Source organism: Homo sapiens, chromosome 3 (genome assembly GCF_000001405.40).
Source record: "Homo sapiens chromosome 3, GRCh38.p14 Primary Assembly".
In the NCBI taxonomy this organism is placed as follows: domain Eukaryota; kingdom Metazoa; phylum Chordata; class Mammalia; order Primates; family Hominidae; genus Homo; species Homo sapiens.
In genome coordinates this window covers 162,173,541-162,199,573 of record NC_000003.12, presented here as the reverse complement: position 1 = coordinate 162,199,573, position 26,033 = coordinate 162,173,541, and the positions used below count along the sequence as shown (strand labels likewise).

Here is a 26,033-nt window from a genome sequence, read left to right as displayed (position 1 = left end):
GGTTCATGCCATACTTCTGCCTCAGCCTCTTGAGTAGCTGGGACTACAGGCACCCGCCACCATGCCCGGCTAATTTTTTTGTATTTTTAGTAGAGACGGGGTTTCACCATGTTAGCCAGGATGGTCTCCATCTCCTGACCTCCTGATCTGCCTGCCTCGGCCTCCCAAAGTGCTGGGATTACAGGCATGAGCCACCGCACCCAGCCAAAAAAGATTATTTTTAAGGATAAAAATAAGGCAAAAGAATAACTATTTTTTAAATAGAGAAAATTTCTGATTCCATTAATATTAATGAGTTTGTTTTATATTATTTCAAATAATACAGATAGAGACTAAAGTAGTTTTTTCCAACAGTTTTAAATCCTTACTTATATAATTTTCTTTTAACTACTAGACTAAGTTTACCAAAGTAGCCTCATAGGTAAAACTCAGAATATGGTAATCATTAAAGAAAAGTATTTTGAATTTCACGTTCTTTATTTGGGGTGATTCATTTAACCTACTTGTGAATGTGTGTGTGTGTGTGTGTGTGTGTGTGGTGTTAAATGATATGATGCACAAGAAATATAAATTGTTGCATACACTGCCTGGCAAATTCATTCAGCTAAAAATAATCTCTGAAATCCAGTTTAGGAACCAGGAATACACAGATGTATTAGACATGGTCTAAGTCCTTAAGAGATTTACAGTTGACTGCAAGAAAAAAAGAATTATAAGCATATAAATATAACACAATGAGATGTTTTTAATGATAATGACATTACAGAAACAGAGATGATTAGTATATCTAAAATGCACTTTAGGTGTACTCAACCTAAGGAATGAGTACACCTAAAGTGCATTTTAAAAAAGAGTAAGATAACAGCTATATTCATAGTTGCAAAACACTGTTGACAACCAAAGTGTCCTAAAAGGTGAATGGATAAAATGAACTGTGGTTCATTTATACAATGGAATGTTATTTATAATAAAAATAAATGAGCTATAAAGCAATGAAAAGACAGAGAACCCTTAAGTCAATATTGCTAAGTGCACTAAGCCAGTGTGAAAAGTTACATACTGTATGATTTCAATTATATAACATTCTGGGAAAGGCAAAACTATATACACAATTCAAAAATTCATGGTTACCGAGTGTTGAGGGAAAGATGAAGGTTGAATTTATGAAACAAAGGGGATTTTGAAGGCAGAGAAACTATTCTATGTGATACTGTAATGGTGGATACAAGACATTATAGATTTGTCAAACTTCATAGATGGTTACAACACAGAGTAGACTTTAATATACGCAAACTAAAAAAGAAATCATTTAGAAAGGTGGGAGACCAAAGAAGGAATGTAAACTGTGACAAAAGAAGAAACTTTATTACAAACATATGAAACCAGCTCAGTAAAAGGAGTGGGAGAAAAAAGTATTGACCTAAGTAACTGCGGAAATATGTGGAGTCTGGAAATGAGTGGACCAATAGTAAAAGAAAATGCACATAAAGCTGTATTCTTGTAATTAAAGTTGTTTCCTGTGAGCGTGTGGGTTCACAATTTTGATACTGCTGTTCATTTACATTGGAAGTGAAAAGTTGAGGAAACGTATGGCAGATGACGGCGGCTAGATTTCTTACCCTTGGAGTGCAAATTTACAGATAAGGAAGGGAGGAATTTAGAATGAATGATGTAGTAATGGGTTAGAATCTAAGACATCAGCATAAACTCATGTTTAGTGTAACATATATACACATGTAGTCACATCATATATATATATATATATATGTGTAGTTACATCCTATACACACACACACAAACACACACACACATAGTCTATAGGCACATGTGTTTCCTTGTTCTGTCAACTGAAAATACCTGCTACCCAGTAGGACAGAGCACAGATATTGGTTTCTAATATTATTCTCTAATGAAAAGAAACTAGCCTTCTTGGATAAATAGCTGGTTCTAAGTAATATATTTTCCTGTTGCAGAAAATATATAAGGTGAACATAGAGCATCCTGAGGCACCAGAAAGTGAGGACATGCTCAGTAATGAAACAAACAAATGAAAACACTCCTTGGGGAATGTCAAAGGGGCACAGGAGCCAATTGAAAAGACCTCTCAATGGCCAAAGCTGGAAAACAATTTGGAAAACAAAACAAATAGAATTAATAAAGTAGTATAGTATTATAATCCAACTTACAAAACAAATAATCATAAGTCTATACTGACATAAATGGTTGAATAAATAAATAAGTAAAGGAGAAGTGAAAAAATTCCCATGCATAATAGTTCCAAATTATTTATGCAGAAAAAGAAAGCATCCTCAGCCAGTGTTAACTGATGGCTGACCTGGCAACAACAGGTAGTTCATGATGTCTTCTACTTAATCGAAAGTGATTCCCACAGCAACAGTATCAGACAGGTACTCTCTAATATGAATGAGTGAAACAAAACCAAAACTACACTGTATCTATGTCTGAAAAGAGAAGAACAAGGACAGTGTTTCAATTAAAAAACTGAACATCTTTCTTACCTGGCTGACATAAATGACTGTTGGTTCTTAACTAACTACAGTTTTAGTTCCTATTCACTGCTTCTGCCTCCCGGATTTAAAATAAAAGAGAAAGAGAATTAAGATAACGATTTGTATATTTAGCCTACTTCCTGCCAACACTCAAACCAGAGAAAACTTCCCACTTTCTTAAACTCACCCCCATTCACCTCACACAAACTCAAATGCTGTAACCAGCCTATTCTCACACTTTTTCACTGAGATATCCTATTATTCTCTATGAGGTACCATTTGCTTTGCTATAGTACTAGGACTACAGCTTTGTTTGACTACAGGTATATTCTTCAACGTCTTTGGGTAGCAGCCTTTAACCAGAAGAGAGAAAAGTGGGTCAGGACTACAAGGCAGAAACTCAAGCTATGTTAAGTCCACTAAGATTGGAGTTAATTCTGTAAGCAATAAGACCTACTTAAAAATTTTATGCATGAAATAATATGGCTTGAATTTCCTTTAACATATATTTCCTGGTGAATATATGGTTGATGTTTGTGAGGGATAAAAGAGTGTAGTTTAGGGACAACTTCCAGCTAAGTCCTGAACTTGAGGACAAGGTAAGAATGAAGAGGAAAGTTATGGATTTGAGAGATGTTTATTAGGCTAAAAACCTGCAGTCTGTAGTAGTTGGCAATGAAAATAAAAGTGAGAATAAACAATCAATCAAGGATATTGATAACTGGTTAACCTTGTTATCTCATAATTGATTACCCCTCCCAGGGGTGCATGCATTGCTGATCTGTATGGAAACGGGAATATGAGAACAGAATGGATAAGGCATTCAGAATTAATAATGTGGATGAAAATAAAGAAGCAGAATGCTGTTTCTACATTCAAAATTCTGCTATAGTAATACAGTACCAGGGCTCTACTTCGATAAGAAACATTTGAAATTCTAAGAATGTACAATATTTGCTTACAGCAAGTGTCACAAAAAAAAACCACCAAAAAATGTATGTTTGATTTGCTTGCTGGGAGAGAGACCAATATTTGACAGTTTCCCAGGAAGAATTTAATTCTGTCCTAAATAAACAAAGGTATCTCCTGATGAAAATAAAGATATCCTCAGAATCACTAGTAGTTCTGCCAGACAGAAGACTTCACAAGGGCAGGGTGTGTATCTATCATATGTATTATTTTATTCTTAGCACTCATCATCACACCTCTTGGCATATAAAAGGTCCTTAGTAATTAATGTTGATTGGATACATTGATTAAGGAATTAGGAATTATTCCAGAGGCAGGAATACACAGCAATGGGGCATAGAATGTGCTCCCTAACAGAGGTCAACAAAATCAAAGTCAAGTTGTGGAAAGAGCTCTTTAACAGATGAGCAGCATAAAATAGAGCTATTTGCTGACTTAGAGCACGAAAGCCAGAGAGTGGCTGTAGCAGCAGAGGAATCAGGATGAGGTAGCACAGCTTATGCTAAAAGAGAGTGTACTCGCTCTAGGTTGTGAGACAGAAAAGATGCAAGACAGCAAGTCCCCAGAGGAGAGAAAGGATGTCTGAGTTCATGGATTTTCAACAGTGACAATAAAGCCTACATACTAAGTATGTCCTAGGAAATTGGACGACGAATGAGTTGCAATGGTTTACCAACCAAGATTTGTGGGCTAAGAAGGCACATGATCAACTGGGATATTTTTACCCTGCTGTTTCACTCCCATCCCAGATTCTGGCCAATTCCCAAGCAGTGATTTGTGGCACAGTACAAAGTGTGACAGTCCGTTGCAAGAACATTGGCAACCCAGAGAGGTGATGCCAATAGATAAAGATGAGAAACAATGAGACCCCAAATGAAGAAAGACCCAAAGCTAGGATATCAGTAAAAATGGATTTGTGATGAAAATTAAACTCAGAAAGTGTAGTTTTATGTAAACACTCCTTTATATCTAACTTAATACTTAATTGCTGAATAAATTCATTTCATCATTTCCCTCTAATATGAATAATCTCAAATAACTTCAAAAGGAAAAACATCTGGCTAAATAAAGTGAATTAGTTGCCTTCTAAGAAAAATTATAATATCTGAATTTAGATGCACTCTGTCTATCTTGGGTAAAGGAAGAGCCTTGGAGGCCCAAGCACTCAATGTATTATGGCACCCCCTCCCCACACCCCACCACATACTAACATGCTACCATATGTGATAGAAAATAAAGTTTTTATTTTGAAATGAAGCAAACATCTACATATTCTGAAATAATTTCATCGAGGCTGACTTTTCTTTTTTCCTTTCTTTCAGTCTCCCTCTTTCTCTTGTGTGCACCATGTTGTGCCTGTTTCTGTTGTTTTTGACATGTGCTTAATCAACCATCAGAGTAATTCTCCACTGACTCTCTCCAGCCACTGGACTACAAAGGTAAAGGCGAATTCTCCTTGATGTTTGTTTTTGGAGGGGCCTCACTTATTAAACAGAGAAGAAAGACACTTGAATTTCAAAATGTTAGTTACATTGAAATTTAATACAAACACAGTAGCAAATTAAGTAGTAGGTTTTATAGATAATTGAGAAAGAACATTTAGAAACAATTTCAACCAGTAACCAATCGGCTACTGTTACCAAACAGAGAGTATTCTACTTTTCAGTCTGGCAGAATGCTTTGTTCTCATGTGGACACCATTTGTCACACTTGTAGATCTGTGACTTCCTCAAAATAAACTGAAGCTGCTTTTTCAATGAAATGTGTCCACAAATTAAATATTATCAAACACTCCGTATTAATTTATCTTTTAATTTGCCTTTTGATATTTTTGCATTTATTTGATTTTTCTCCAGCGTTAAGTCGTTTAGTATTAAAATTGACTGGATACTGCTTGTTTCTTGTATAGATATATGGAATAAAATTAGATCTTTTGAGATGAAATCAATACAAAGAAAAACAAAAAAAGCAAAAGTTTATCTTAGAACAAAGAATGTGTACATAGGAAATTAAAAAACAAAACATGTTACCATGAATAAGATAACTTTTTACTATAGAAGTTTTTTTAGATTATAAAAAAATGGTAGATGTAGAAGAATGAACAGAGTATGTAGATGGCAAGTTTTCAGTAACGTCAGGCCAAATCTTCATGTGATATATGTGTATGTGAATGTAGCAGCATGTGAATATTTATGTGAGCTCCCAAACAATGTGCTGAAGGGCAGATAAAGGCTGGAAGTTGTTTGCCATTTTTGACTAAATTAAGGAATGAAAGCATAGTGGTGATACCCAAATTCTAAATTCACTGTAAATTCCATGGATTTTTATTTTGCTAAAAAGTTTGTACTTATACATGTTACCATATGCCATCTCTTATATATGTAAATACAAGATTTGTGCATCATTTTAGAGTATTTAATTTTGGTAATGCTGTAGATTCATCTAGAATTTGATAAAAAGCCATGACTAATCTTCCTAGAAATTTACATTTAAGACACGCTTTAGCATATGCTATCTAAGGATTCATAGTTACTCTGCAGGCTGTTTTAAAGACCCCTGCATTTCAAGAATCCTATATTTTAAAAATCTCTTTTTCTAAAAAATATTTTGATGGCAATGGCCCTCCTTTTGATAAGAGGTAAGGCCCCTGACGGAGGCAATAATAGTAGATCCTCCTAGAACTAGACCTCAGGGAATTACTTTCTGTTAGCTCTGCAGTGAGAGAAACACTATAGCAATGCAAACTGTAGAAAGGGAGCCGTGAATATGCAGAGTATGCTTCAGAGGAAGGTTACTTCTAAAGTCCTTCAGTTAATTGGGTGTTAACTGAGAGAGATATTTTAGTGACTTCTATGGAATATAATTAACAATAAGAGAAATATTCTAAATCCAGGTCTGAGAGAAAGGAAAAAAGCAACCTGGAAGGAAAAATGAAAAAGATGATATTTTCAAATTAATTTAAATGAACTCTGAAAAAAATGCTGATTTTATCAGAAAGAGAAAAACGTCTCAAGCCCACTGTAGTTAATAAAACAAAAACTATGTCTAAGTGTAACTGAAAACATCTGCATGCATGCTCTTTCTAAGACTGAGGGAGATGATACTTCCATGGTATTTGGGAAGAAATCTACTGTTCTGCAGAGCCGGTTTTTGGCTAGAGATACATAATAGAAAAGAATATATTTAGCCTTGCCTAGTTAATAAACCATTAATGGAAAAGAGCAGCAAAGAACTTAACTGACCTTCTGGATCTTGTCAAAATCCTGTCAAGAAAGGTGACAGTAAAAGAGTAACAGAGAGTCAATGACTAAGTGACAAGGGTTGGCAAGATTGATTTTAATGAAATGTATCTTTGAGAAGCTGATTTAGAGAACAGATGTGCTTAGAGTTAGATAACACTTTAAATTCTATTTTTTGATATGCTCTTCTACAGTTGCCAGTATTCTGGTGTCCAAGTTTTTGCAAAGTTAGCAAGGAAAAGGAAAGGGTGACATATTGATGTAGATGTTTGTCTGTGTTGTTGGGGGGGATGCTTTTCTATGCATCCCTCTCTCCATCACTCTGGTTCTTGTGCCTTCAAACACTTAGCCTTTGTGTTTTTTATTAGCTGATTACATTTCATCCTAGCCACACTCACCAATATGCCACATGACAAATATTCTAAGCATATCTCTATTTTGGTGTTGAACATTTCTACATGGAGATATCCTCTAAGTTTATATAAGTATGCATGTAATATTTAATTATATTATTGTATTAGTTTATTTATATTGTATTATTCTCATTTTAAATATTTTGTTATTTTATTATAAAAATAAGTATACACATATAATACACAATGTAATGTATCATGTATTATTTCTAATAAATACAAAGGATTTGACAAAAATTATATTACAGTGAAGCTCAGTTATCTGGAGTTCAAAATTTTAGCACTGAAAATGAACACTTAATCAAAAGTCAAGGAATAAATAAAAATATGTAGAGTCACTATGATAGCCTTCTCAAAAATAGATGTAGTCAATTTATTACCTTTATGAAGGTCTCTATGACGTTCTTTTAGTTCTTATTGACTCTTACTTTTAACCACTTCTAACCTTTGGATTCTTAACAATTCTTTTAAAATGTCAACTTAGATATTAATCTTAGATCCCAACCTATTTTTGTATAATAAGCATGTATTACTCCATTTTCACACTGCTCATAAAGACATATCTGAAACTGGACAATTTACAAAAGAAAGAGGTTTAATTGGACTTATGTTTTTATGTTGCTGGGGAAGCCTCACAATCATAGTGGAAGGCAAAGAGGAGTAAGTCATGTCTTACATGGATGGCAGCAGGCAAAGGGAGAGAGAGCTCATGCAGGGGAACTGCTCTTTATAGAACTATCAGATCTTGTGACTCACCATCACAGAAACAGGAGGGGAGAAATCTGCTCTCAAATTAAATTATCTCCCACCAGGTCCCTCCTACAACACGTGGGAGTTCAAGATGAGATTTTGGTGGGGACACAGCCAAACCATGTCATTCCACCTCAGCCCCTCCAAAATCTCATGTCTTCACATTTCAAAACCAATCATGCCTTCCTAATAGTCCCACAAAGTCTTAACTCATTTCAGCATTAATTCAAAAGTCCACAGCCCAAAGTTTCATCCGAGACAAGGAAAGTCCATTCCACATATGGACTTTCATATGTAAAATCAAAAGCAAGTTAGTTACTTCATAGATACAATGGGGTTACAGGCATTGGGTAAATACAGCCATTCCAAATGGGAGAAATTGACCAAAACAAAGGGGCTACAAGACCCATTCAAGTGCAAAATCCAGTGGGGCAGTCAAATCTTAAAGCTGCAAAATGATCTCCTTTGACTCCATGTCTTACATCCAGGTCACACTGATGCAAGAGTGGGTTCCCAGGGTCTTAGGCAGCTCCACCCCTGTGGCTTTTCAGAGTACAGCTTCCTTCCTGGCTGCTTTCATGGGCTGGCATTGAGTGGCTGGCTTTTTCAGGTGCACCGTGCAAGCCATCAGTGGATCTACCATTCTGGGGTCTGGAGGACAGTGGTCCACTTCTCAAAGCTCCACTAGGTGGTGCCCCAGTAGGGACTTAATGAGGGCTCTGACCCCACATTTCCCTTCCATACTGCCCTAGCATAGGTTTTCCATGAGAGCCCTGCCCCTGCAGCTAACTTCTGCCTGAACATCCAAGCATTTCCATACATCCTTTGAAATCTAGGTGGAGGTTCCTAAACCCCAATTCTTGACTTCTGTACACTGGCAGGCTCAACAACATGTGGAAGCTGCCAAGGCTTGTGGCTTGCACCTTCTGCCATAGCCAGAACTCTATGTTGGCCCTTTTATCTGCAGTTGGAGTGGCTGGGATGCAGGGCACCAAGTCCCTAGGCTGCACACTGAACGGGGACCCTGGGCCAGCTCAGGAAACCACTTTTTCCTCCTAGGCCTCTGGGCCCGTGATGGGAGGGGCTGACATGAAGACCTCTGGCATTCCCTGGAGACATTTTCCCTATTGTGTTGGGGATTAGCATTTGGTTCCTCATCACTTATGCAAATATGTGCAGCTGGCTTGGATTTCTCCTTGGAAAATGGGATTTTCTTTTCTATCACATTATCAGGCTGCAACTTAACTGAACATTTATGCTCTGCTTCCTTATAAAACTGAATGCCTTTAACAGCACCCAAGTCATATCTTGAATGCTTTGCTGCTTAGAAATTTCTTCCACCAGATACCCTAAATCATCTCTCTCAAGTTCAAAGTTCCACAAATCTCTAGGGCAGGGGCAAAATGCTTCCAGTCTCTTTGCTAAAACATAGCAAGAGTCACCTTTATTCCAGTATCCAACAAGTTCTTCATCTCCATCTGAGATGAGCAGCATTTGGTCAAAGCTATTTGACAAGTCTCTAGGAAGTTCCAAACTTTCCCACATCTTCCTGTCTTCTTCTGATCCCCGCAAACTGTTCCGACTTCTGCCTGTTACCCAGTTCCAAAATCACTTCCACAACTTTTGGGTATCTTTACAGCAGTACCCTACTCTCTGCTGGCACCAATTTACTGTATTAATTTGTTCTCATGCTGCTACTAAAAACACACCTGAGACTGGGTAATTTATAAAGGAAAGAGGTTTAATGGACTCAGTTCTACATGGCTGGGAGGCCTCAAAATCATGATGAAAGGCAAAAAAGAAGCAAAGGCATGTCTTACATGGTGGCAGGAAAGGCAGCTTGTAAGGCAGGGGAACTCCCATTTATAAAACTATCACATCTCGCCTTTATAAAACTCCCATTTATAAAAGATGTTCTTTGAAACCAACGAGAACAAAGACACAACATACCAGAATCTCTGGGACACATTCAAAGCAGTGTGTAGAGGGAAATTTATAGCACTAAGTGCCCACAAGAGAAAGCAGGAAAGATCTAAAATTGACACCCTAACATCACAATTAAGAGATCTAGAGAAGCAAGAGCAAACACATTCAAAAGCTAGCAGAAGGCAAGAAATAACTAAGATCACAGCAGAACTGAAGGAAATAGAGACACAAAAAACCCTTCAAAAAATCAATGAATCCAGGAGCTGGTTTTTTGGAAAAGATCAACAAAATTGATAGACCATTAGCAAGACTAATAAAGAAGAAAAGAGAGAAGAATCAAATGTACACAATAAAAATGATAAAGGGGATATCACCATCGATCCCACAGAAATACACACTACCATCAGAGAATACTATAAACACCTCTACACAAATAACCTAGAAAATCTAGAAGAAATGGATAAATTCCTCGACACATACACCCTCCCAAGACTAAACCAGGAAGAAGTTGAATCTCTGAATAGACCAATAACAGGCTCTGAAATTGAGGCAATAATTAATAGCTTACCAACCAAAAAAAGTTCAGGACCAGATGGATTCACAGGACCAGGTGAATTCTACCAGAGGTACAAGGAGGAGCTGGTACCATTCCTTCTGAAACTACTCCAACCAATAGAAAAAGAGGGAATCCTCCCTAACTCATTTTATGAGGCCAGCATCATCCTGATACCAAAGCCTGGCAGAGGCACAACCAAAAAAGAGAAGTTTATACCAATATCCTTGATGAACATTGATGCAAAAATCCTCAATAAAATACTGGCAAACTGAATCCAGCAGCACATCAAAAAGCGTATCCACCATGATCAAGTGGGCTTCATCCCTGGGATGCAAGGTTGGTTCAGTGTGCGAAAATCAATAAACGTAATCCAGCATATAAACAGAACCAAAGACAAAAACCACATGATTATCTCAATAGATGCAGAAAAGGCCTTTGATAAAATTCCACAGCCCTTCATGCTAAAAACTCTCAATAAATTAGGTATTGATAGGACGTATCTCAAAATAATAAGAGCTATCTAAGACAAAGCCACAGCCAATATCATACTGAGTGGACAAAAACTGGAAGCATTCTCTTTGAAAACTGGCACAAGACAGGGATGCCCTCTCTCACCACTCCTATTCAACATAGTGTTGGAAGTTCTGGCCAGGGCAATCAGGCAGGATAAGGAAATCAAGGGCATTGAATTAGGAAAAGAGGAAGTCAAATTGTCCCTGTTTGCAGATGACATGATTGTATATCTAGAAAACCCCATCGTCTCAGCCCAAAATCTCCTTAAGCTGATAGGCAACTTCAGCAAAGTCTCAGGATACAAAATCAATGAGCAAAAATCACAAGCATTCTTATACACCAATAACAGACAAACAGAGAGCCAAATCATGAGTGAACTCCCATTCACAATTGCATCAAAGAGAATAAAAATACCTAGGAATCCAACTTGCAAGGGACGTGAAGGACCTCTTCAAGGAGAACTACAAACCACTGCTCAATGAAATAAAAGAGGATACAAACAAATGGAAGAACATTCCATGCTCATGGGTAAGAAGAATCAATATCATGAAAATGGCCATACTGCCCAAGGTAATTTATAGATTCAATGCCATCCCCATCAAGCTACCAATGACTTTCTTCACAGAATTGGAACAAACTACTTTAAAGTTCATATGGAACCAAAAAAGAGCCTGCATCACCAAGTCAATCCTAAACCAAAAGACCAAAGCTGGAGGCATCACGGTACCTGACTTCAAACTATACTACAAGGCTACAGTAACCAAAACAGCATGGTACTGGTACCAAAACAGACATATAGATCAATGGAACAGAACAGAGCCCTCAGAAATAATGCCACATATCTACAACTATTTGATCTTTGACCAACCTGACAAAAACAAGCAATGGGGAAAGGATTCCCTATTTAATAAATGGTGCTGGGAAAACTGGCTAGCCATACGTAGAAAGCTGAAACTGGATCCCTTCCTTACACCTTAATCAAAAATTAATTCAAGATGGATTAAAGACTTACATGTTAGACCTAAAACCATAAAAACCCTAGAGGAAAACCTAGGCAATACCATTCAGGACATAGGCATGGGCAAGGACTTCATGTCTAAAACACCAAAACCAATGGCAACAAAAGCCAAAATTGACAAATGGGATCTAATTAAACTAAAGAGCTTCTGCACAGCAAAAGAAACTACCATCAGAGTGAACAGGCAACCTACAGAGTGGGAGAAAATTTTTGCAATCTACTCATCTGACAAAGGGCTACTATCCAGAATCTACAATGAACTCAAACAAATTTACAAAAACAAACAAACAAACAAACAACCCCATGAAAAAGTGGGCAAAGGATATGAACAGACATTTCTCAAAAGTAGACATTTATGCAGCCAAAAAACACATGAAAAAATGCTCATCATCACTGGCCATCAGAGAAATGCAAATCAAAACCACAGTGAGATACTGTCTCACACCAGTTAGAATGGCCGTCATTAAAAAGTCAGGAAACAACAGGTGCTGGAGAGGATGTGGAGAAATAGGAACACTTTTGCAGTGTTGGTGGGACTGTAAACTAGTTCAACCATTGTGGAAGTCAGTGTGGCAATTCCTCAGGAATCTAGAACTAGAAATACCATTTGACCCAGCCATCCCATTACTGGGTATATACCGAAAGGATTATAAATCATGCTGCTATAAAGACACATGCACACATATGTTTATTGTGGCACTATTCACAATAGCAAAGACTTGGAACCAAGACAAATGTCCAACAGTGATAGACTGGATTAAGAAAATGTGGCACATATACACCATGGAATACTATGCAGCCATAAAAAAGGATGAGTTCATGCCCTTTCTAGGGACATGGATGAAGCTGGAAACCATCATTCTCAGCAAACTGTCGCAAGGACAAAAAACCAAACACCGCATGTTCTTACTCATAGGAAAGAGTTGAACAATGAGAACACATGGACACAGGAAGGGGAACATCACACACTGGGGCCTGTTGTTGGGTGGGGATAGTGGGGAGGGATAGCATTAGGAGATATACCTAATGTTAAATGACGAGTTAATGGGTGCAGCACACCAACATGGCACATGTATACATATGTAACTAACCTGCACATGTACCCTAAAAGTTAAAATATAATAATAAAAAAAGCACATTAACATGGCACATGTATACATATGTATCTAACCTGCACATGTACCCTAAAAGTTAAAGTATAATAATAAAAAAAAGAAAGAAAAGCTTTCATGTAGTTATCATACACAATTTTGGATAAGTTTTAGCTGCAGAAAGTGTAAAGTTATAATTTCTAGTAAAAATCTAAAGAACTTACATTTGTTTGACTAATAATAAAATCAATGAAAAGGAACAAAGCTGTCCTCTTTTATTTTTAATATAAATAAATATCTAATCAAAATAGGAACCTGAGAAAAAGAGGTTCTATGGGCGAGCAAAAATTTCCTCAGAAAATGATTTGGATTTTCTCAAAAACAGAAATTGATAGATGACTCTATATAAATAAAGTCTATTAATTTGGAAATGAAATAATATGATGGAAGATCCCAAATTTCAGCACTTGCTTTATAAAGATTTAGCTTGAACAACTCAGAGAACAGGTGTTACCAACAACCTATCAAAAGGAAAAATAATAATAACGTATTTATTCCTATTACATCCAAATTATATATTCATAGAAATATAATTTTAAGCATTACAATATTCTGATAAAATCTCACAAAAGGGGGAAAAAGACTAGATTCATCCCTGGTTAATTAAATAATTTGACTTTCTGAAATTGCTGCCTATAACTTAATCAAATGCTAACACGTTTCAGTTATGACCATTTTGGTTTTATAGGTGTTGAACTCAAAATATTCTCATGTTTTTCCAACAGTTACCTCATACCAAACCACATTACCATGCTCAGTATCATTTTGAATTTTTTTCCGATTTTGTTTTTATTTCAGCCATCCTTTGCTGCTCCTTGTTGTACTCCTTATTCTTGTACTCTGATCATCTGCACAAATGCTGACTTTGTTTAAATGACATGTACACTCAGCTTACCTCTACCACCATTGTAACCATCAAATAAGATATTTTTAAGGGAAGCTTATTAGTTATCTATTGCCACATATGAACATGCGCAAACTTGGTGTATTAGTAAGTACTTAGTGTACTTAGTGTATGCTGCTGATAAAGACATACCTGAGACTGGGCAATTTACAAAGGAAAAAGGTTTAATGGAGAACTCATAGTTCCTTGTGGCTGGGGATGGCTCACAATCATGGCAGAAGGGGAAAGGTATGTCTTACATGGCAGCAGACAAGAGAAGAGAGCTTGTGCAGGGAAACTCCCCCTTATATAATCATCAGATCTCATAAGACTTATTCACTATCACGAGAACAGCACAGGAAAGATCTGCCCCTATGATTTGATTACCTCACACCAGGTCCCTCCCACAACAGGTGGGAATTCAATATGAGATTTGCTGGGCACACAGCCAAACCATATCAGTGAGCAACAATAAACATTCTATTATGTTCAAAGGAATTCTGTGAGGCCATAGTGGGGATGGTTTTTCTCTGCTACACAAACTCAGGAGACTAGGTGGGATGGGAGTGGGAGAGGAAAGGGATGACTTAAATATCTGAGGGCAAGGGTCAGATGTATGATGCTTTTCACATGTCTGGCATTGGACTTGAGTGTCCCAGAGAACGTGCACTTGGGTCAATCTCAGCACAGTAGACTCAGAGTACTTTGATGTTTTACGTGGTAGCTCAGGGTTCCAAGAGTCGGTAGTCTAGCAAGCAGGGTGGAAGCTGCATGGCATCAGTGACCTGCTCTTGGGGTCCCTGCAGGTGCATTCAGTAATTACAAGCAAGTCATTTAGACCAGGGAGAAGATGTAAAGAGTGTCAAAAATCTATGATCATCTTTGCAACTGTCACAGAATGTAATAAGCTAAGGAGGTGCCAGGAAAAAAAATTATGAATAAAAATAAAGAGCTAGGAAAATAGGTAAAATGGTAACAGTGGTTTAGATTGTCTTTCAAATAAGTAGAAAGTTTTTTCTAAATGTGCTGTTTCACATTTAAAAAATAACAACTCTGGAGTCCTAAAATTGTCACTCAAAATAACGTGCTGCATATATTTAAAAAATGTATTTTATAAAATATTTTCAATATATATGTGAGTATATATAGTGATAAAGTAAAAAACCATGTTCACAACAGTCAGCCTTTTGAAATCTTAACATATTTTTTGTGTTGTTTTCAGAGACTTTTTAAAAAAACACTACAATAGAGTAGATAGAGCCAAAGCACTCTGCACAATGCCTCTTGATCCCATTTGTCTTCTTACCTCCCATTAACAACTACAATTAATTTGGAGTCCATTATTACATATTTTAAAATTGTGTTATTACACATATATACATCTATAGAAAGGAAATAGTAATTAATGTTTCGTAATTTTTATTGATACAGAATAGTTGTAAATATTCTTGGCATACATATAATATTTCAATACATGTGTACAATGTGTAAAACCAGAGTAATTTGCATATTCACCACTTCAAACATTTATTATTTATTTGTATTAGAAAATTCCCAATCTTGTCTTCTACCTACTTTAAAATATGTAATAAGTTATTGTTAACTCCAGTCATCCTAAAGTGCTATTGAACACTAGAATTCATACTTTCTACTTAAACTGTATTTTAATACTCATTAACTATCTTCTTTTCACACAACCCCAACCTCACCCTTCCCCGCCTTTGGTCACCATCACTCTACTTATTACTTCCATAAGATCAAATTTTTTAGATTCCAAATATGAGTGAGAATATGTGATATTTTATTTTTCTCTGCCTGGTTTATTTCACTTAACTCAATGTCCTCCAGTTCCATCCATGTTGCTGCAAATGTTAGGATTTCATTCTTTCTTATGGCTAAAGAATATTCCATTGCAAACATATACCATATTTTTAATCCATTCATTTGTTGGTAAACATTTAGGTTGATTCTATATCTTGAATATTGTGAATATTGTGCAATAAATGTGGATGTGCGGATATCTCTTTTATATACTGATTTCCTTCCTTTTGGATATATACTCAGTAGTGAGATTGTGGGAACATAAGGCAACTCTATTTTGAGTTTTTTGAGCTGCCTCAATAGTGTTTTCCATAGTTTCTATGCTGATTCACATTTCCACCAGTAGTACAAGCATTCCCCTTTCTCCACATTCTCACCAGCATCTATTATTTTCCATCTTTTTGATAACAGCTATTTTAACTGAGACTAGATGGTATGTCAGTGTGGTTTTGAATTGCAGTTTGTTAATGATTAGGGATGTTAAACATGTTTATACAACTGTTGGCCATTTGTATGTTTTCTTTTGAGAAATGTTTATTCACATATTTTGCCCATTTTTAAATCAGATTTTTTTTGCTATTGTTTGGCTTATTTATATATTTTAGTTATTAATCCCTTGTCCTTGTTTGCAGATGACATAATCTTATATTTAAGAACACACAAAGCTTCTACCAAAAAGCTCTTATAACTGATAAATGAATTCAATAAATTTCCAGGATACAGAATCGATATATACAAATAAGTAGCATTTCTATATGGCAACAATGAACAATCTGAAATAGAAATCAAGAAAGCAATTCTGTTCACATAACTTCAAAAAATACCTAAGAATAAATTTACCCAAAGAAGTGAAGATTTCTACAATTAAAACTATAAAACATTGATGCAAGATATTAAAGAGGACACAAAATAAGTGAAAAGATAGTCCATGTTCATGGTTTGGGAAAATTAATGTTGTTAAAAATGTTAATCCTACCCAAACTGATCTGAAGATTTAATGCAATTCCTCTCAAAATACCAATGATCTTCTTCACGAAAGTAGAATAAACAATCCTAAAATTCTCTTGGAGTCACAAAAGACCTCAAATAGCCAAAATAATCTTGAACACAAAGATAAAGCTGGAAGCATCACACTACCTGACTTCAAAATATACTATAAAACTCTGGTAACCAAAACACCATGGAACTAGCATAAAACAGATACATAGACCAATGCAACAAAACAGGGAACCCAGAAATAAATCCCGCATTTACAACCAACACATTTTCAACAAAGACACCAAGAACACACATTGAAGAAAGGGCAGTTTTTTCAATAAATTGTGCTGTTCATCTACAGAGCAAATAAACTAGATTCCTATATCTCATCATATACAAAAATTAAAGCCAAAATGTATTAAAGACTTAAATGTAAGACCTGAAGCTAGAAAACTACAAGAAGAAAACTTTGGGGAAATGCTTTAGAACATTTGTCCAGGCAAAGCCATTGAAGTAAGAGCTGAAAAGCACAGGCAACATAAGCAAAAATTGACCAATGGATTATATCAAGGAAAAACACAGCAAAGGAAACAATCAACCAAGTGAAGAGACAACCTACAGAATGGGAGAAAAATATTTACTGGATAGTTTTTGGAACTTCACATTCACAGAATAATGTTGAACACTTACTTGGTACCAAAACACTGTTCTAAACAGTTTGCATTTTAATTTAGGTAAATATTACCGTCCTATGAATAAAAAATATTTCCACACACACACTGCCATTATACAGATGATAAAAACAAGTTAAGCAGAGACATTTGCAATGGATTGTAAAGGTCTGAGATGTCACCCCACTTGCAAGCTCACTAGTTAGTCTACCAAAGATTCACCTGTAGAAGACATAAGACTTCTAGGTTAGACAAAGGACCATTTTTTTCTTATAGCAATAACAGTAGCCATAGTATCAGCATTTATTGCAGTGACTCCCCAAAACCCAATTCCCATGAGAAGGGTCATGCAATGTCAGCATGTGCAGTGGGCTGCAGGATAGAAGAGGAACATTGAGCTTCAAGAACCTTTAATAATAGGCTAAAAGTGTGCCTGCCCTGCCCTTTGTTCCAGAGGGAGACATTGTATCTTCAAAGACTGTTTACTAAATATCCTCAAAAATTCTGAATGAAGAGTACTTAGTGCTCTACTCACAGGACATGCAGAAATGCAGGAGACACATAGAGCATTGTCTCATAGCAAGATAAGTAGCTTGCTCAAAGCATATAAAGCTAAGGGGTATAACAGTTTTGAAACAGAAAAGGACTAATTCTAGAACACATGCTTTTGAATATATACTATATTATTCAAACTTCTCATGGGGAAGTAAGAATTTCTCTTGTTTCTCATAATACTGGCCAAGATGCCCAGGTCTTTTTTCTGATAGGTGTGAAATGATACCTGATTAGTAAAATTAGTAATAAATTTCAGCATAATACATTTATTGACTATTTGTTTTTCTTTACTGTTAACTGTCTAATTATAATATTTGCAATGTATGATTTACCTTTTGTTTTTTTCTTAATCGACTCAGAAATTTTTTCAAGTTCTCAATTGCAAACCTAGTTTTTGTGATTTTTGGAAATGTGTCTTCCTGTCTGTAGCTTGTCCTTTATTTATAAGCACAAATATATGTAAATTATGTCATTATAAGCAAAGTAATCAATATTTTAATAATTTGTGCTTGCTTTTTAAATAAAAAATCATTTTAAAGAAATATTTTGTTTTCTCAAATCAACAAGTCTATTTTTTTAGATATTTCTTCTAAATATTTTAAAGTATTGCTTTTCAAATTTAGGTCTCTAGTTCTCAATGTTCTGGTACGGTATACATCAAGATGCCTAAATGCTTACTTTAAAATAATTATAAATTTTAAATAACGTGAGTGAAAAATTTCTGTTAGCAGATATCAGTTATGACTCAAAAAAAAAGACAAAAAAAAGAAGAAAAAGGAACTATAGAATAACCTGTTAGCTCAAGGAGAGAATCTAAATCCTTTTACATGTGTTTGTGAGCTCTTTAAGACTTACATCCCAGGAGAGTAAAAAGCCTGATTACATAATAAGAAGTGGCCAGAAAGCTAGATAAAAATAAATAGCTATAACATAGGTTTATGTGACTTTGGCAATTTTTTAAAACAACAAAAAAAGAAGCCAAATCATTCGAAAATACATTCAAACTCAAAATAATGTGTGAGTTATCATGTGATATAGAGTATAAATATCACAGTTTTCTGTACTCATTCCATTTGATCTTTTCATCAAAAGAAATTAATAATTAACAATTATGTGCCTAAAAATCATAATTTAAGTCAAATAAGTTCATGCTTTATACTATTTTCTAAGAGTAAGGTATTCATCTATCACCAAATCTTTTCAGTTATTTTTCTTTATAAATTTATCAGCCAGAAAATACAATGTTGCATATACTAACCATTTTATTTGCATTTCATAAATGCAAACTATTCTTTTTATTCTTATGAGGTAATTATCTACATTGAATTCCAGTGGTTATAAAACAGCAAATATTAATTATGGATAGATTTGGCCATATGTGACATACTTTTATCCCTGCAAGTTTTTTTCTCATATAATGTTAACTGTAGTTTTTATTTTTCAGAAGGAAAGAAATAATGACCATAATATTAAAATTACCCACAATTATTTTATAATATTTTAGGAGCTTCATCTTTTCAATTTAAGCATAGTATTAACAGTATAAAGCCCTATTATTTTAAATCTATAAAAATGGACAAATAACAGTTTACATTTACCTAGTGGGAATAAAGTAATTTTAGTATTTATTTCATGTTTATATATATATATTTATTTTATACAAACATTTATATTATTTCAATATAAATGTATATAAGTACATTATATAAATATACAAATTATAATGATTGCATATAAACACTATACAAAACTGTAAAATTGGTAATATTAGTAGGAAAAATGTATTTGGACTGAGAAATATATGTTGATTATGATTTATCATCTGTCATATATTTCCACATATTCCGTTTACTTTATTGCATAACAGGAAGGTTATAAAACACATGCTGTTTAAATTTATTTGTGAAAATAAAAGATCCTGTAAAAAAAGTTAAAATTTGAATATAAGAAATAAAGGAACATTTAAATAATGTAGGGATATAATATACAATGTTAATATGATGTAACATGGAAAAAATGACAATTGCCTCAAGTTTATCTACAGATTCAATACATCTCAATCACAATTTCAGCTGGAATGTGTATTGCTCATTGAAAAATACAAGTAAAAAGACAAAAAATTTCAATAGAGAGCTAATCCAGCTTAAATAAAGGAGAATTACAGAGACAAATTCTTTATACCAGATAATTAGCCATAATGCCAAGTCCAAGTAATGGAGATAGTGTGGAATCGCCTCTTGAGGAAACAAATGGAATAAAACATAGAGTTCTGATATGTAGTTGACATATTTGAAATTATAGTAACAATGATAACAAAAAGCAATGGAAATCACAGATTGCTTGGTAGATTGATATTGGGAGAATTAGCATACTAAAGGCAATTATTCTTTAATATAAATACATACAAAAGTGGGCTTTACGTGCATTAAAATGTATAAAATTTTTCTAGAAATAAAAAATGGTAAAAGAACCAGATTTAGGAATAGGATAGATTTATTCAAAAAGGTCTCAAATGCACAAAATCTGGGAACATAAAAAGAAGGATTTGACTATAGCAAAATTAGAGCCTGTTCTATTCAATCACAAAGTGAAAAAAATAGATAAAATAAAAGAAAATATTTCCAAGTTATGAGATTAATTCTACAAAATAGATAGTTGGTATTAATATGTACCAAAAACTTCTCAAAATATGGAAGATAATTATAGAAAATTCAGTATAAGGATAAAAGAAGATGAACAGCAATTTCATGGAAGTATCAACATGAAAGTAAAGAAATGCTGAATCTCCCCATCATCATTAAATATTGTGTTGTTAAATGAGAAAATTAAACATCAAAAAAGTATTTTATTTCTATATAGTAGAAAAGTAATATTACCTAGTAGTGTTGGCAATAATATGGTTAGTCAAGAATTCCTGTGTAGTAATTGAGGGTGTACATTGATGCAGCTATTCTGCAAGACAATCTGGAACTGAGTATACGTGCATCCTAAGATTTGGAGGTATGTATTATGAGTATACAACCCCCCAAAATTCTCAGTAATACTGGGATGGAAACTGTGCTGCTAGAATTTACCTCAACAGGTGTAGATTTTTTGGCCAGTGATGCTTTACTGAGTTTCCTTCATGGCATTGACCCTTACTCAAGGCATGAAACATATTGCTTAATAGCATTGCTTTGTAACTGTGAGTCTGAGAAGATCTGGGGTAATCTGTAGCAGTTTGCCAGCATTATTATTGATAGTAGTGAGACTTAATGACTCGGATGTGGTCTCAGCAGTGAATGCTGCCCTGCCCCTCCCTCCACCCTACTTTCCCCCAGAGTTCTATGGTTGAAGCTGGTTAGATAGAGTTCCTATTCATGTTTATTGGTGAGAATATAATATCAAGGTTTATATTTTTGTTTGTTTTAAAGAAGAGTTTATGAATAATATTCCATGAGTTTGTATGACTTGCACACTATGTCTCTTGCCAAGAACTTTGTAGAATTTATACCACTGTCTTCTCCCATTGAATGTTGCTATAGAGATGTAACTTTCCTACATGTAATGTGAGTTTTGGCCCTGATGCCCCCATAGAATTTTTTTTTCAGTTTCAAGGAAGTATCCTTTCCAACAGAGTTCTTTAATATCCAGAAAGATAAATAAAATACCCAACAATGTTGAATGTGCCTGGTCAACTCCTTATAAGACTTATTATGAGGAACGTTGTCCTCTATAACCTTTAATACACATTCCAACCTTTTCTTCAGGAAACTTCAATTTTATTTACTTTGAATCTCCTTTTTCTTCCGTATCTATTACTCTTCCCCCATTTACTTTGCTTGATTTTCTCGTATCCATACTAAATGTCCCTGTTTTTAGCATTGTCCATTCTTTAGTCAGATTCTAAAGTGACATTATAACTCTTATATTTCCACGTATTCGGACATATTCCAGCTGGCATTTCATCTGTTTCCATGCCTTATCACCTCTTCCTTTATTCCACGTCACCAGGAATGATGTCTCCTTTAAGCTCCAGAAAACATAAGGGTCCATTTTGATTGGCTGGTGCCCATTCTGATTAGTCAGTGTTCCTGTAAAACTCCATTGTTAACCCTTGACCATCCTTCTCATCTGCATTGTTATAAAATTATTATCATGCATGCTTTTTATCTCTGTTTTAGTTGTCTTGTTCATTTTGTTTTTGACTCATCTTTACATATCTTTCCTTAAGTCCCCTGCTAATTTTGTGGTTGTTGCTCTTTTTCTCATTTTTTTTGTAATTAAAGTTTTATTGGAACACAGCATAATTAGTCCTTTAAAACTGTCTATGACTGCTTTATTTTTTAATTTAATTTCTGGTGTACATGTGCCAGATGTGGAGGTTTGTTACATAGGTAAATGTGTGCCATGGTGGTTTGGTGCACATATCAACCCACCACCTAGGTATTAAGCCCAGCATGCATTAGCTATTTATTTTTCCTGATGCTCTCCCTCCCCCAACCCCCAGCCCAGACAGACCCTAGTGTGTGTTGCTCCCCTCCCTGGATCCATGTGTTATCACTATTCGGCTCCCACTTATAAGTGAGAACATGCGGTGTTTGGTTTTCTCTCCCTGTGTTAGTTTGCTGAGGATAATGGTTTCCAGTTCCATCCACATCCCTGCAAAGGACATCATCTCATTCCTTCTTCATTTTTTAATGCAGTTTTTTTGTTCTTTTTAAGCCATTTTCTCAATGAAAGTATGGACAGAGGGTACAAGAGAGTGATTTGAGTCAGCAAGCCGCTCAGATTTCAGCCTCTTTCCTTTGAACACATGCTAACTCTCATTCAGTGTCATGTGTGGGTCACTGTATCAGGCCACTTGTAAGTTGACCTGGTGAGCAATGAGATCCTTTACATCAAAGTCCTATGTATCATAATCTAGTATTTACTCTCACTTAGATGACAAAAACTCAGTAGCATAGCTTTTACCTTGTCAAGTTGATAAGGAAGTGTGTTTCCTTCTTCTATCAATCCTTCCCTTCTTTCTGTGATAGGCAGTTGTTACCTGAGAAACTCAAACAATATATTTACTTACCACGGAAGATGGAAAGATAATTTCGATCTGTCCATATTGCTTATTATTTATCATATTATATTTAATTTTGTTTTTAATGCCAAGAAGCATTTTCTGTGTAGGAGGAGTAATGTTTCTGTTAGTGATATCTGTTTTTACTACCTGTTTAGCATGATTTTCCCTTCTCCTGAAGGTGTTATGAGTTGAATTGTGTCCACCAAAAAAATATGTTGAAGTCCTAAGCCATTGTACTTATGAAGGTGATCTTATTTGGAAATTGGGTCTTTGCAGGTGAATTCAAGTTAAGATGAGGTCATATTGAATTAGGATAGGCACAAATCCAATAGAAACGGTGCCCTTATAAGAAAAGGAGAAGAGACAGAATGAGACACACTGAAGGGACACCATGTGACAACAGAGACAGAAATTAGAGTGATGCATCTACAAAACAGGAATGCCAAGGACTGCCAGCAACACACGAAGCTAAGACAAAGGAAGGGAACAGATTCTTCCCTAGTGTCTTCAGCGACTTCTGGCCTCTAGAACTGTGAGGAAATAAATTACTGTTGTTTTAAGCCATCCTGTTTGCTGTTTATTGCAGCTCCTAGGAATCTAATTCAGAGGGCAACATGATACCTTTGTTTGGAGAACTACCAAGCTGCTATCACATACAGTCAATATTTATGATTTGACAAGGCTGTTTATACTTTGTTTGGCAGTACTTCAGAAATAGGAAATTATTTCATGCATTATTTTATAAATAATGATGTAAAAGGAATTTATATTGTTTATATTGTAAGTTGAAGATAGTATCCAGAATGTCATTTAAAATAAAATGTGTAGAGACACAAACTTGCATTTCATTCATTATTGATAGATCACTTTATATATTATGGCCATTTGTTTATGTAATATTTAAATGAAAATTGGGCTGAATATCCCTTTATCTTAGAGTATTTTTTTTTCTTAAACAGAGAATATGTTATTACAGAAATCCATTCCAACCAAGGGGAATTTGAAGGAAGGATACAGGAATTTCGCTTAGAATGCAAGAACAGTGAGTAAATCTCAACCTTGATAGAAAGATACCTGGGAGACAAACATCCACACCAGTAATCACATCATAAACTTTCTCTTGCTCTCCCTCTCTTTCTCCCTGGAGTTAAATGATCTGTCATTTCTTCTTTTCTCTATTTACCTTCTTTGTTTTTGCATATTAGCGTTCTCAGCTGATTCAGCAATTTGCACACTGTCCATCATGGCCACCCTAAATTGCCATCTCAGCTCCTGAGTCTATTTGACCTTACGGGCCTTGTGCGCAGAACTTAGAACTTAGTGTATGCCCTAAATAAAAGATCTTGGTAGAATAAAACTATATCTGGCTTAAGTTAAACACTGATCTCTAAATTTATAAACTATGAACTCAAAGGATTGAGTTTACATAGTTCATAGGGCTACAAACTCAAAAGTTATAGAAAAGGCAGGGTCTTTAAGTAAGGGATGTGAGAACAATGAAGAAATTTTCAGTATTTCTAACTCAAAATCTTAAAGCTCTATGAATTTCAAATTGTCATTGCTTTATTAAAAGCTATTAAGATAGACTTATTCTACTTTATTTTTAAAATTTATTTAATTTTAAATTGGATTAAAGTATTAATATCTAGAAAATGCTTTATAACCATTTGAAATGATAACTATGGATACAGTGAGATAAGTAAATGAGTTTTGAAATGGGAAAACCTGGAGATGAAGCACCCCTGCCACTACCTATTCACATCATCCTGGGTAAGTCATATAAACTCCCTTACTCTAACATTTTTTATCTGTGAAATGTGAGTAAAACTAATGTGAAGACAAAAAAATAATTGAAGGGATAGGGCCTCAAAAACTGGAAAGTGATGTAAAATAAATGCTGAAATTAATGCCATATTACCTTGTTGTAACCCCAATAACGGCTTACATAGAGCTCTGTAGTTGGTACATGGAAAGTGCATGGTTATCAAGTGTCCATTGACAAACATCCATTTGTATTAGAACTTTATTTTTTAATACTCTCATATACTGACCAGGCATGGTGGCTCTTGCCTGTAATCCCAGCACTTTGGAAGGCCAAGCCGGGCGGATCACAAGGTCAGGAGATCCAGACCATCCTGGCTAACACGGTGAAACCCTGTCTCTACTAAAAAAAATACAAAAAAATTAGCCGGGTATGGTGGTGGGCGCCTGTAGTCCCAGCTACTCGGGAGGCTGAGGCAGGAGAATGGCGTGAACCCGGGAGGTGGAGCTTGCAGTGAGTCAAGATCACGCCACTGCACTCCAGCCTGGGTGAAAGAGCAAGACCCTGCCTCAAAAAAAAAAAATACTCTCATATACTGAATTAGATATGTTTCTTTTACTTGCATGTATCAAAAAATAATTATTGCTTGAATAAACAAGAAATTTAATGGAAAGATACTAAATTAAATTACAGGATCCAAGTCCCAACCAACTATCATGAGGGGCAGAATCTAAGCTAGTGCTAGGGACCTTGGCAAGTTCAAATAATATCCACTAGACAATATAGGTGAAAAAGCCACAATCACATCTCTTCTCAGTGCCACTAAGTTGAAATAGATCCAAATTATGCAAAAGGAACTGGGAATTAACCCATCTTGGTTAATATAGGTAACTCTGAGTCTGTTATGGTTGCATAGCAAAAATATAGTTCTTGGGGCCCAACCTTGGTATTGGTAGGAGTCAAGCCTGGCATGGTGGCATGCCTATAGCTCTAGCTGCTCAGAAGGCTGAAAAAGAGGATTGTTTGACCGCAGGAGTTCAAGGCTGTAGTGCACTATATGGCTGTGAATAGTCACTGCACTCCAGCCTGGACAACATAGTGAGAACTCATCTACAAATAAATAAGTAAAACTGGAGTCAATGGAGTCAGTCCTCTCAAACTGTGCTGCTACTTTATCAAGCATGTTTATCTAATGTTCTATATTATTTGTTGTTAATTCACATTCACAGCATGTCAGACATCAGGAGTAGATTCTGTTTTTTTTT

The 26,033-nt window shown here is 35.3% G+C and overlaps 1 long non-coding RNA gene across 1 annotated transcript in view; it reads left to right on the top strand.

Moving 5' to 3' along the window:
- The first annotated feature begins 4,801 nt into the window (after positions 1-4,801).
- LOC107986048 (uncharacterized) overlaps positions 4,802-26,033 on the top strand; it is a 32,992-nt gene continuing 11,760 nt past the window's right edge. The window contains exons 1-2 of the long non-coding RNA XR_001740570.2: positions 4,802-4,918; positions 23,966-24,048. This is a non-coding gene — a long non-coding RNA (uncharacterized LOC107986048). The remainder of the gene's footprint in view (positions 4,919-23,965; positions 24,049-26,033) is intronic.